The sequence below is a fragment of the Homo sapiens genome, chromosome 10 (genome assembly GCF_000001405.40).
Source record: "Homo sapiens chromosome 10, GRCh38.p14 Primary Assembly".
Lineage (NCBI taxonomy): Eukaryota > Metazoa > Chordata > Mammalia > Primates > Hominidae > Homo > Homo sapiens.
Genome location: NC_000010.11, coordinates 31,758,601 through 31,772,285, shown reverse-complemented (window position 1 = coordinate 31,772,285; position 13,685 = coordinate 31,758,601). Strand labels below are relative to the sequence as shown.

The 13,685-nt window shown below is 46.9% G+C and overlaps 5 annotated features.

The window, feature by feature from the left end:
- Positions 6,099-6,736: an enhancer, noted in NCBI's record as "H3K27ac-H3K4me1 hESC enhancer chr10:32054478-32055115 (GRCh37/hg19 assembly coordinates)". NCBI's record gives its function as "activates a minimal SCP1, AML or CMV promoter by ChIP-STARR-seq in naive H9 embryonic stem cells {active_cell/tissue: H9 hESC(naive)}" and the evidence as "EXISTENCE:reporter gene assay evidence [ECO:0000049][PMID:30033119]".
- Positions 11,766-11,855: an enhancer, noted in NCBI's record as "active region_3243". NCBI's record gives its function as "activates an Ori minimal core promoter by ATAC-STARR-seq in GM12878 lymphoblastoid cells {active_cell/tissue: GM12878}" and the evidence as "EXISTENCE:reporter gene assay evidence [ECO:0000049][PMID:35858748]".
- Positions 11,936-12,215: a silencer, noted in NCBI's record as "silent region_2279". NCBI's record gives its function as "represses an Ori minimal core promoter by ATAC-STARR-seq in GM12878 lymphoblastoid cells {active_cell/tissue: GM12878}" and the evidence as "EXISTENCE:reporter gene assay evidence [ECO:0000049][PMID:35858748]".
- Positions 11,936-12,860: a biological region, named in NCBI's record as "H3K27ac hESC enhancer GRCh37_chr10:32048354-32049250".
- Positions 11,964-12,860: an enhancer, noted in NCBI's record as "H3K27ac hESC enhancer chr10:32048354-32049250 (GRCh37/hg19 assembly coordinates)". NCBI's record gives its function as "activates a minimal SCP1, AML or CMV promoter by ChIP-STARR-seq in naive H9 embryonic stem cells {active_cell/tissue: H9 hESC(naive)}" and the evidence as "EXISTENCE:reporter gene assay evidence [ECO:0000049][PMID:30033119]".

The following is a 13,685-nucleotide window of genomic DNA, read 5'->3' as shown; positions in this document are numbered from 1 at the left end:
CCAGGGTGTGGTGGATGACAGACAGCTCAGGGATCCTAGTTGGTTCCCTAACTCTTCTAGGGTCTCCTCCTGCTCTCCCTTGGCACTGATGTGTCTCAATCTGGGAGGCAGGAGGAGGAGAGGAACATGGGATTCTGAATGGCCATAGTCAAGGTCAGGCAGTCTGTCCTGGCCACCTCAGGGATAGACCCTAGGCTCCTGTCAGGCCTCGTAAGACTTGTTGACATAGAAGAGAGAGGCCACGTGCACTAAACAGCATTGGCAAGAAACCAAAGAAAGCTCTACATTCAATGGAGGTATGGAGTGGAGGGGCTCAGGACCTGCAGGCTGAGCAGCACCAGGGAGAATACAAAGTCTGGGGTCTTGCTCTGTCGCCCAGGCTGGAGTGCAGTGGTGGAATCATAGCTCACTGCAGCCTCAAACTCCTGGCCTCAAGCAGTCCTCTTGCCTCAGTCCTCCCGAGTAGCTGGGACTACAGGTGCATGCCACCATGCCTGGCTAATGGCCTCCGGCCAATGGCTTCACGTTGCCCAGATGCTAGATGAGTCTATTTCTATTTAGCATGTGATTCTCCCCGCCTGACATGAGAACCCAAACCCCACCCTCTGGTATGTGAGGAGGACAGGACACAAAGTCTTGTGAGGTTCTCTTGGAGGTCATTGCTTAAGCCCAGGCTGTCAGAAAGTCTGCTCTGGGACAAAGTTGGAGGCTGGGAAATGTGCCTTCTGGCTTGGACTTTCTTATCCCCTCCCTGGCTTCTGGTGCCCAGCCAGTTTCCAGACAGCCTACAGCCCACCTGGACTGCTCTCAGGGAGCTGAGGCCTGACTCAGCCTCTTGTTCATTGCTCCCCTATCTGGACACAGTCATCTCTGCTGGCGCATTCACGCCGAGGGCCAGATGTGTTCTCTCGCTCTTCCGGGATGAAGTGTGTACCCTGACTTAGTCCATTTCATGTTGTTATAAAGGAATCCCAGAGACTGTGTAAGTTATGAAGGAAAAAGGCATAATTGGCTCACAGTGTAGATATCTGGAAAAGTTCAAGACTGGGCATCTGACGAGGGCCTCAGGCTGCTCCACTCACGGCAGAAAGTGAAGGGGAGCTGTTGCATGCAGAGATTGCATAGTGGGAGAAACCAGGGAGGCCAGGCTCTTTTAACAATCCACTCCCCAGGAACTACGGTGAGAACTCACTCACCCCCAAGGGGAGTGCACTCATCTATTTGAGGATCCACCCCGATGGCCCCAACACTTTCCACCAGTCCCCACCTCCACCATTGGGGATTGCATTTCAACATGAAGTTTGGAGGGGACAAACATTACAACCTTAGCAACCCCACACCCACTTAACCCAAAGGGGTGCTAAATTAGCACAGGTGATGACAGGCATGAAGTATTGTTAGATAAACATTTTGATTTGCCTCCTGTCATTTATATGAATAAATGTCACGTGCATGTACATGTGTGCGCACCCTACACTTTTTAGATAAAATAGCATTTCCTATATATCCTGGTTTCGAACCTGACTTTTTCCGTTTAATATATTGTAAATGTTTTCCCATGTGCTTATAGTCTTCCATAACACAATTTTAAATGACTCTAAAGGATTGCCTTGTGACCCTCAAAGTGAGGCACATGCCAGACAATCCACTGGGTGAGGGAAGGAAATATTACAACTTCCTTTCATCTTTATTTTTATCTAAAAACAAGGCAGAAATGAAGCTTTATTACTTTCTAATACCCGGCCTCCGTTCTGGTCGGCCTGCACATGTGGTGCCTGTGTGGTCCTGCAGGGGGCAGAGGGTTGACAGTGGCACCTGCACATTTCTGTTTGTTCTGCATATTGCAATTTACTGCAGCTTCTAAGTGTTTGGTTAAAGAGATTATATTAACTAATAACCTTCACAAAATAGACAGGTGGCTTAATTTCTAGCTAAGAAAATGCAGACTGTAGGCTGCAAAACGTGAGAGGTTGGGAGTGGGGTGAGGGTTGAAAAATTACCTATTGGGTACAATGTTCACTATTCAGGTGATGGGTTCACTAAAAGCCCAGACTCCACCACTACGCAATATATGCATGGAAGAAATCTACATTTTCATTTTGGGAGGTTGAGGCAGGTGGATCACTTGAGGTCAGGAGTTCCCGACTAGCCTGGTCAACATAGTGAAACCCTGTCTATACTAAAAATACAAAAATCAGCCAGGTGTGGTGGCACACACCTGTAATACCAGCTACTCGGGAGTCTGAGGCAGGAGAATCACTTAACCTGGGAGGAAGAGGTTTCAGTGAGCTGAGATTGCGCCACTGCACTCCAACCTGAGTGACAGAGTGAGACTCTGTCTCGAAAAAAAGAAAAAGAAATCTGCACTTGTATTGCCTAAATATATAAAAATAAAAAACTGCAGAGCACGAAAAGAGAACGAGAAAATGGCTGAGTGGATTCTTTTTCAGATTCCATTGTGAACTCATCATCATTCTTGTTAGATGAGAAAACAACAGTATAATCAGATTTGAAAAGGAGTCAGCCAGAAATATATTAACATTTGAGAAGATTATGTGAATCATAGGTATACAGTCATTTCATTCATGATGGCCTTACCCTAAGTGCATATTGTACCTTGAGGTATAAGCTAATGAGAGTATCGCCATAGGCAAGACAGTTAAACAATTAACAATGAAAATATAAAGACAAATCTCAACATCCTTTCACTGATGTTGAAAGTCATGCAATCTTTCAGCCCCTAAACATTTTTACTAAACTATTGATAATAAATGTTTAGAAGCTTAAAGGTCACATCACATGGTAAAACTGGCCAAAATAACACATGAAACAAATATGGGGAAGAATTTAAATACAGCATTTCATTGCAAAATACTATTGAAGGCCAGGCGAAGTGGCTTACACCTGTAATCCCAGCACTTTAGAAGGCTGCGGCAGGAGGATCGCTTGAGCCCAGGAGTTTGACACCAGCCGGGGCAACATAGTAAGACATTGTCTCTACAAAAAATAAAAAATTAGCTTTGTGTGGGGGCGCATGCCTGTGGTCCCAGCTACTCAGAAGGCTGAGGTGGGAGGATCCCTTGAGCCTGGGAGGCCAAGGCTGCAGTGAGCTGTGACTGCACCACTGCATTCCAGCCTGGGCAACAGAGTGAAACCCTGTCTCAAAAATGAAATGAGCCCAGGCGCGATGACTCATGCCTGTAATCCCAACACTTTGGGAGGCCAAGGCGGGTGGATCGCCTGAGGTCAGGAGTTCGAGATCAGCCTGGCCAACATGGTGAAACTCCTTCTGTACTAAAAATACAAAAAATTAGCTGGGCCTGGTGGCAGATGCCTGTAATCCCAGCTACTCGGGAGGCTGAGGCAGGGGAGAGAATCTCTTGAACCCAGGAGGCAGAGGTTGCAGTTAGGCGAGATTGCGCCACTGCACTCCAGCCTGGGTAACAAGAGTGAAACTCCATCTCAAAAATAATAATAATAAAAGAAATGAAATAAAATACTATGAAGATATGTGGAAAGCAGTTGCTGAATATCTGAAGAAATAAATACTAGAATACATAATATAGTCTGGGAGTTTCATCATGTAGTTGGATGGAAGTACACATATTTCCAACATGACTCAGTTATGACATTTGCTGAAATCTGTCTCAAAAATGAAATATACTTTTTATGTTTTCATAAGTCACTACAGGAAGGATAATTGAAGGACATATATTCTCAATAGTGAATGATGTCTTCACAATTTTTTTTAAAACATGTAAGTATAAGTGCAGCTAAGAGCCAACTTTGACTGCAGTAAGAAGGTTCTTGAACATTGTGGTGGAGCTGACTATGTAGCACCTTGGACAAAGTCACTGTCACCAGACCCGGGCTGTCCTGGTTCAAGTTCCAGTGCTGCTGCTTGCTAGCTATGTGACCTTGGGCAATTCACCACCTTCCCTGTGTCTCAGTTTCCTTGTCTGTGAAATGGGATAATAATTGTATCCATATGAGGGGTAGTTGTGAAAATTAAATGAATCAATATATGTAAAGCACTTAAACTCTGCCTGGCACACAGTAAGTGCTCAACAAATATTAGCTAATAATGTAAATCGCACTTGAAATTTATTCACAGGCAAACTACTGTAGCAGATTTGTTTGTTTGTTTGTTTGAGACGAAATTTCGAACTTGTTGCCCAGGCTGGAGTGCAATGGCACAATCTCCGCCCACTGCAACCTCTGCCTCCTGGGTTCAAGTGATTCTCCAGCCTCAGCCTCCTGAGTAGCTGGGATTATAGGTTCTTGCCACCATGCTTGGCTAATTTTTTTATTTTTAGTAGAGACGGGGTTTCACCATGTTGAATTACATAAATTACACACCCAACCTTTGTGTAGATAAATGATTTTTTTGCTTATTCCTTATGTCCTTAAAAATATGATAAATATTCTGCCATATATTAAAAGTTTTGTTTTCTAAACTGAACCACCTCACTGATAGTATAGAGCTATCACTTCCAGCTTCAAATTTTCTGCTATGGGCCAGGTGCAGTGGCTCACACCTGTAATCCCAGCACTTTGGAGATGGAGGCGGGTGGATCACCTGAGGTCAGGGGTTCAAGACCAGTCTGGCCAATATGGTGAAACCCTTCTCTACTAAAAATACAAAAAATTAGCCAGGCATGGTGGCGGGTGCCTGTAATCCTAGCTACTCGGGACGCTGACGCAAGAGGATCGCTTGAACCTGGGAGGCGGAGGTTGCAGTGAGCCAAGATCGTGCCATCACACTCCAGCCTGGGTGACAAAGTGACACTCCATCTCAAAAACAAAACAAAACAAAACAAAACAAAAAACCAACAAAACAAACAAGATTATGTCCTTTGCAGGGACATGGATGGAGCTGGAGGCTATTATCTTTAGTAAACTAACCCAGGAACAGAAAATCAAATACTGCATGTTCTCACTTATAAGTGGGAGCTAAATGACGAGAACACGTGCACACACAGAGGAGAACAACACACACTGGGGCCTATTGGAGAGTGAAGGGTGGGAAGAGGAAGAGGATCAGGAAAAATAACTAATGGACACTAGGCTTAACACCTGGGTAATGAAATAATCCGCACAACAAACCCTCATGACACAAGTTTACCTGCATAACAAAACTGCTCATGTGCCCCTGAACTTAAAATAAAAGTTAAATTTTTAAAAAGGAAAAAAATAAAATAAAATGTGTAAACAGAATTTTCTGACTAGTTTAAAGATCTTCTAATGAAAATTTTAGTATTTTGTATGCATTAAATATAAAAAATGTAAGACCTCTTGGTTGACATCATAGAAGTAGAAAATTTACTTAGCTTAATTTCAATAAAAATTTCTGTATACTTAGTAAATGAGAATGAGAAATTAATTTATTGATTTATTAACTGTGCCCAATTATGCCTTTCCTCTATTTGTATCTGTGTCTTTATAAAAGATTGTTTTGAATTATAACAACTATTATAACCAGGAATGGAAATATATTGAACTTTCAGTTGTATTATAATGTTAAACTAAGACTTTAAGAAATGATTGATTAAATCCAAAATCACACGGCTCTTTTTAAACCAAAATATTTCTGAAGTATTAATGAATAAAACAGAGCAAATTTAAAATATTGCTTAAAATTTCCATATCATGTGTTTTGTATTGCATCTGAAACTTTTAGTTTGATAGTACCTACATATCATTTATTAAAAGTAAATGACTATTTATTAGGGTGTAAGCAAACATTATTTTTGATGGGAGTATGTGACTATGGACTCAAAATACAAGAGACCACTTGATCCCCAATTAGTAGGCACTGAGGTTGTTTCCAATTTTTTAACTTTTTCAAATGATGTAGGGAGCATCTTATGTAGAAGTTATTTGCTGCATTACTGCTGATTTTCTGGGGACAGCTTCCTAGAAGTGAGCATGCTTAATCCAAGAGTATGCTCATTGTAAGGGAATATTTTATTTTTATTTATTTAGTTAGTTTACAAATTTCCTGCAGAGAGACTATAATAATGGACATGGCCACCAGCAGCGGTGACAGTGTTTTCCCCTAGCTGTTGGCTTTGTTTTCATGTAATTTCAGCTGCTAGTTACAGGGGGAGGACTCTGGTCTATCTGGGAGCAGTGAGGGACCCCAGGGCTCTGGGGAAGGTAGTTTTGGGCAGGGATCTGGTATGACCACAGACTGTGGATGTCCACCAACAGCAGTCTATGCATCAGGGCGGTCGTCTGTGCATCAGACCTTTCCTGGTGGTAAGGAGGAGCTCCCTGGGGACTCAGGGCATGATCCTGAGTTGTTGAGGGGTCAGGTACAGCACAGTGGGGAAAGGTGGTTATCCCACTCTGAGGTGGGGGTGGGCACGTCCCTGAGGTGCTCTGTTTCGGGAAGGCTGTCTGTGGGATGCTGACTATTGTCACGCAGCAGTGTCTGAGGATCAAAAGCGAGTGGAAGGAGGTCTCCTTCTCTTAGCCCATGTGGAAAGCATTTGTCTTCGGCTGGAAACCTTGCGTGAGAACAAAAGCCAGCCCTTGTGGAATGCTTGCAGGCCCTGCGGCCAGCTCTGTTCCTGGCTCTCTTGGCCTTTTGCTAAGATAGCAGAGTGGGGCTTCCCACCAGAATCAGCAGAAAAGCCAAAGTTTCCAAGCAGCAGGGACTCGCAGCAAAATGGTGGCCCTTTGTTCTCATTTTCTCAGTCCCTCTGAGCAGCACGTTGCTGCCTACCCAGGCCTTTTCTCTGTGTGGAGGCCCAGTCCCTCAGAGCCCTGCCAGGCGCTCGGCTAATCTGACCCAGGAGTTCAGGAGGAGACACTGAGAGGGGCTCGTGGTTGAAGGTGCCAACTTCACAGATGGTATTCGCAGGTTGCCCTGGGATTCCTCTCTCCAGGAGCAGATGGGGAGGGGAAAATGACTTGGTCACATGGGCCTTCTGGGGCTGCCGCCCCACCACCCTGGCACCTGACAGCCCCACCTTTGTGCAGGGTGGGGGTCTCGGGGGCCAGAGGTGAGAGCAGCAGGTGTTTCGCTTCCACCTTTGTCTCTGGCCCCACAGGGAACACTCACTGGGGGTCTCAGCAGCTCCATACCCCACTTCCTCCTGCCTGGGTCCTCCTAACCCTACCCAAGGCTGGAGGAGAACTTGGTATAAAGCCTGCAGGCTCAGAGAGGGATGAATGTGACTGTGGGGTCTGAAGACAGGGTGATTGGATCTGCCCTGAAGGAGCAAAGGACTTGGGGAGACGCAGGCCATTTACATAGGTGTTCAGGCAGTGAAAGAGCCTGGACGGCTGATGGAAAAAGTCTCCCAGGAGACATAGGGGGAGATTAAGCAGCAAGATCAACTCCTTCACTGGTGCCCTTGAGCCACCTTCTCCCTCTCCCTCTCCCCTAGGATATCTGTCTCCTCTCTCTCTCAATATATATAATATTGTTTTAGTCCGTTTTGTGTTCCTATAAAGGAATATCCGAGACTGGGTGATTCACAATGAAAAGAGGTTTATTTGGCTCACAGTTCTGCAGACTGTACAAGCATGGCTCCAGCATCTGCTTGGCCTCTAGTGAGGCCTCAGGAAGTTTTTACTCATGGCAGAAGGGGAAGGGGAGCAGGTGTGCCACATGGTGTGAAAGGGAGCAAGAGACACTGCCAGGCATTTTTTTTTAATTTACTTTAAGTTCTGGGATACATGTGCGGAACATGCAGGTTTGTTACATAGGTATACATGTGCCATGGTGGTTTGCTGCACCTATCAACCCATCACCTAGGTTTTAAGCCCACATGCATTAGGTATTTGTCCTAATGCTCTCCCTCCCCTTGCCCCCCACCCTACAACAGGCCACAACTCCCCTCCCTGTGTCCATGTGTTCTCATTGTTCAACTCCCATTTATGAGTGAGAACATGCAGTGTTTGGTTTTCTGTTCCTGTGTTAGTTTGCTGAGAATGATGGCTTCCAGCTTCATCCATGTCCCTGCAAAGGACATGAACTCATTCTTTTTTATGGCTGCATAGTATTCCATGGTGTATATGTGCTACATTTTCTTTATCCAGTCTGTTATTGATGGGCATTTGGGTTGGTTCCAAGTCTTTGCTACTGTAAATAGTGCTGCAATAAACATATGTGTGCATGTGTCTTTATAGCAGAATGATTTATAATCCTTTGGGTATATACCCAGTAATTGGATTGCTGGATCAAATAGTATTTCTAGTTCTAGATCCTTGAGGAATCACCACACTGTCTTCCACGATGGTTGAACTAATTTACACTCCCACCAACAATGTTTGGCCAGGCATTTTTAAACAACCAGCTCTTGTGTGAACAAATAGAGCAAGAACTCACTCATTACGACAGGGAGGCCACCAAGCCATTCATAAGGAGTCTGTCCCCATGACCCAAACACCACCCACCAGGCCCTACTGCCAACACTGGGGATCACATTTCAGCTTGAGATTTTCAGGGGACAAGTATTATATCAAATGGTTCTTTTCATCCTTCTGTTCATCTATTCAACTAGCCAACCAGCCAGTAATCTGTTTTTTCATTTGCTCATTCATTCATCCATGTGTTCATTCAACAAACATGAAAACCATTTGATGCATATGGCTGGCTATGGCTCAGAGGGGTTTGGGAAGACTCTGACCTACTGCTTGTAGGACCTCATAGGCAGGAATTTGGTCAGAATCTGATTCATAAGTTTGTAGGTCTAAAAACTAATTTTTTTTTTCACCTGCCCAGAGGTTCTGGGGGGACTCATTCAGTTTGTTTCTTTGTTTGTTTGTTTTGTCTTTTGTTTTTTCTTTTTGAGGCAAGGTCTTGCTCTGTCACCTAGGCTGGAGTACAGCGGCGTAATCTGGGCTCACTGTAGCCTCTACCTCTTGGGTTCAAGTGATTCTCCTGCCTCAGCCTCCTGAGTAGCTGGGATTACAGGCATGTGCCATGATGCCCAGCTAATTTTTATATTTTTTCAGTAGAGACAGGGTTTCGCCATGTTGGCCAGGCTGGTCTTGAACTCCTGACCTCAAACGATCCATCCATCTTGGCCTCCCAAAGTGCTAGGATTACAGGCATGAGCCACTGCACCTGGCCCTCATTCATTTTTTAATGAGGTCATAAGACTGATTTAGAAACCCAAAGACCAAAAATCAATTATACCCCAAGCTTGGCTGGGTGGGATAACCAATACCAGTGTCCCCTCCTGCACAAATTAAAGTCCAGAAGAGGGATGCCTACTCAAGACAATTCAATAGATTTTTTTCTCCTCATGCCAATGTGAAAGGCAAATAAATCTCAGGACCCCCAAATCACTAAGCCAAAGGGAAAAATCAAGCTGGGAACTGCATCAGGCACACCTGCCTCTCATTCTATTCCTAAATAAGACAGTTACAAAGATTTTTAAAAATCTTCATATCTCCCTCACAATTTGCCTACTAGGAAGTTCCTTGTGGGCCTCAAGATCTTTACACTAAAACAGTTCTGTTGAATTTCACTCTGGCAATGTAAATTGATAGCTTATCTTCACAGGTGCAGGACAAAGGACAGAACTCAAAGTCATCCCTCGGCTCATCTGAAACAAATGCACATCTGATTGCTTCCTCTGCCCTATTGTTTGTGTAAAAATGCAGATTCACCCAGCCAGACCAAGGCATAAGTGACTACTCCGCTACCCCACCTCTCCTTGAAGAAAGCTGCCTTTCATATGGCCACAATCTAAAGTTCTGAAGGATTCCAGTGATTTTGCAACCTGCAGGCTTTGACTCGGAAGGACTCAGATCTGATTTCACAAACTTTCTTTAAGGAGCGGTGCAATGAAGCAATAGGGCAGCATTCATAGGCTGGGCAAGATAGCGAGACCACCTCTTTACTAAATCATTAAAAATTATCCAAGTGTGGTAGTGCATGCCTGTTGCCCCAGCTGCTCAGGATCCTCTCTCCTTGGCCTCCCAAAGTGGTGCTGGGATTACAGGCAATGGGGAAGTGATGACTCTAAGTGGTTTTTCAGGCCCTGGACCACAGGTAGCTGCAGAGAAAGACTCTATTAGCACAAGGGAGTGAGCCCCTGAGCCCACTGCAGGGTGGGAGGCCCTCAAGGTCCTGCAGTTTTGTTGGTGGGGGCTGTGAGTCATCAAAACCTGGGTATTCATAACTGATGTGACTTCATTTGTACCTGCAGGTTAGTTTGGGTGTGGGAACCTTTCAGGTGGGCTAGTCTTGAGTTGCCCTTAAACACAGTTGCTCTGCCTCAACATCACATTGGAAGCTCTCCAAGATAGACTATTTTTTGTAAACCTGATAAGTGCCTGCATTTGATGAAATTATAGGAATCTGATAAATGCTTGATGCTAGGGTAGAGGAGGTTGCCCAAGAAAGAGGTAAAGGGAATGAGGTGGACTTCGTAAAATGAGGAAATCTATCCTTGGATGGAAGTCCTCTTCCTTCATTCCTTTCTTCCTCCCTCCTTCCCTCCCTCCCTCCTTCCTTCCTTCCTTCTTTCCTTCCTTCCTTCCTTCCTTCCTGATAGATAGGGTCTCAACTCTGTGGCCCAGGCTGCAGTGCAGTGCTGTGATTATAGCTCACTGCAGCCTCAAACTCCCGGGTTCAAGTAATCTTCTTGCCTCAGCCTCTGAAGTAGCTGGGGCTACAGGCATGCACCACCACACTTGGATAGTTTTTAATTTTTTTGTAGAGATAGGGTCTCATTATCTTGCCCAGGCTGCTCTTGAACTCCAGGCCTCCAGTGGTCCTCCCTCCTTGGCCTCCCAAAGTGCTGGGATTACAGGAATGAGGCACTGTGCCTGGCTGGTAAGTCTTTACAGACACCAAATCCAGCAGATTCTGTGCTGTGGGGTTAGGTCATTTGGAAAATAAGAGAATGTAGCGTCATTCACGAAACTGCTGACCAATGCTCCATCACTGCTCCTTAAGGCTTTGAAAGTTTGTGAAATCGGCTGTAAGTCCTTCCAAGCCAAAGCCTGCAGGTTGCAAAATCACTGGAATCCTTCAGAACTTTAGATTGAAAGGCAGCTTTCTTCAAGGAATCCACCTTTGCTAGGATCAGAAAAATTCAGCCTGGTCCTTGCCTCTGAAGTCCTGAGAGTCTGATTTGTACATTGCCAATTATTATTGAACATTGTAAGAGGAGAAGGAAGAAGAGAAAGGGAAGACAGAGCAAACTGGGATCCTTGAGGCAAGCAGGTGGCTGGAGCCGTTCAGAATGGTGTAGCAGAAAGGGCACTGATTTCTACCCGGGCTCTTGACAGCTGAGTGGCCTTGCTCAAGTCGCCTGGCGTCTCTGGGCCTGATTCATCTGTAAAGCCAGGGGGTTGGACTGGATTATTTATGGCCTGTGGCTGCTCTGACATCAGACAGTTCTATCAATCTTTACCCCGGAGCTGTCCCACATCTCCTTGGGTTAGATAGGAAATTCATCTCCCTTGCAGATTAAACACCTATTGCTTTTTTTTTTTTTCTCCAGCAAGAGGGAATGAGGCAGCTATTTCTCCCTCTGTAGACAGAAGCAAAGAAAAAAGCAAAGTCAAATCAACCTCCCATTCAGTGCTTAGCCGTTCAGGCCTGAATGAACAGTGTTGGCTTGCAGGCGTCGCTCAGACCCTGTGGCTCATGGAAATCTGGAGTTGGTAGGGTCCTGACAGACGAGCCCTCTCTTTAAATTGAGAAAACAGATACCCCTAGAAGGGAAGTGGCATAGAATTATGTAATGATGGAGCCTGAACTAGAGTCTAGATAGATACCCAGGATGAAGAACCTGCCGAGGGCCTGTTCTGCCCTGCCGAGGCTGCTCGCGCTCTCGTGGTACTCCCTTAAGCATATACGATTAGGTAATCCTGTCCGCGTTTTCCTCTCTGATTGGAGTTTATGTTAATCTCAATTAAGCCGTCAGCCGGGCTTCCTGGTGCGAGGCGTGGCTTCTGCCAGGCGGTGTCTTTCTACCCTTTGTAAGGAGATGCGGTCGGTGATTGGTAGGCTGGGAAGCGCCAGCGGCCAATGGGGAATGCGGGGGGCGGGGATACTGGGCCGGGGCTGGGCGGGGCCGCGCGGTCGCCGTGGTTACCGAGCCGGCCGGCCGCCAATGCGCAAACACTAATTAGGCGCCCCACCCCGAAGCCCGGGCTGCGAGGCGGAGTCAGGGCCCCCTCAGCTCCACCCCGAAGCTTGGCATGATTTGCCATTTTACTGCTCCTCTGGAATCTGTGCTTCCTCCCGAGCGCAGGAGGTTCCCCTGCCGCGGCTGCCGGCCCCAGGACCTGGATGGAGATCGCCCGAGGAGAATCCGTTCTCCTGGTCACACTACAGAGGCCTAGGGGGACGAGACCTGCGGGGCCTGTCCGGACCCGAGGCGGCGCTCGGGATGGTCTCCCGTGGAGCAGAAACGCCGTTTCCTGGGTGAGGACTCTTAGTCGCCCACCTGGACGGCGGCGGAGACATCCGCGCCACCTGCTCCCCAAATCCACCTGGACGCGCACTCAGCAGGGGTGCGGGGGAGGGGCTTCCTTCCTTGGGGGCCTCGCCTAGAGCCCCCGCCCCTGGGATGCCCAGACCCCTTTCCCCCTAGCATGCCCAGCCCCCCAGCACGCCCACCCCTCCGGCACACCTACCCCCACCCAGCACACTCAACCCCGCAGCACACTCACCCCCAGCATGCCCACCCCCCAAGCACACCCCTTTCCCCCAACACACCCATCCCCCAGCACGCCCACCACACCTCCCAGCACACCCACCCCCGCCCCTACCTGTCCTGCGGTGTGTGGGGCGGGGGGGGCGGGGGGACTCGGACGACGCCCACGGGGCACACGTGGGCCCTCCTGTGCTCTCCGCACTCCCTCCCGTGCTTCCGCAAGCCTGCGCACTCCACTGGGGATTACGGTCCAGCCCACCCGGAGGACCCTATTCAAGCCCGAAGCGCCCCCCTTCCCCTTCCCAGCGCCGCGTACTGCGGCGGCCTTGTTTGATTACCTGCCTTTCCATTTCTTCTGTATTTACAACCCTCCCGACTCCCGGGGAGAGGGCGGCATAGGCAGCCAATCAGGATGCAGTCGTCTCTAAAGGTCAGGGTGACACACATTTCCCAAGATCATTCACGGACTTCGCCCTTCGATGCCTTGTTCTCATGACAAAACCTGGCTGCCAGCACTTAATGTGATTTCCCCCCATCTCTGGCAACTGAGAGAATAAAAAACTGAACATAAAAATTAACTCTTTTATTATAGTGTAGTGGTCAGTCTTATGTGAATAAAATTCTTCTCATCTAGGACCTGTCTCTCACCTTAAGAAGGAACATGGCATGAAGTGAGTTGGTCTGCATCCTTTGTTTTCCAACCATTTTTTCCTTCATTATTTTATTTTTTATTTTTAAATTTATTTTTATTTAGAGACAGGGTCTCCTATGTTGGCCAGGCTAGTCTTGAACTTCTGGCCTCAAGCAATTCTCCTGCCTCAGCCACCAGAGTAGCTGGGATTACGGGCATGAGCCACAGTGCCTGGATTTCCTCATAATTTTGAATAATTGCATTTTTTCCTTTAGCTGTCATCATACAGACCAACTACCAATCGCACCCAGCAGAAAATGGACCCGTTTGGAATTCAATGATTTTGCAATCTTGAATTTCATGGAAGGCCAGAGGTGTGGCTCAGGGATAGGAAGGGGTAGGGAAGGACAGGAACACAC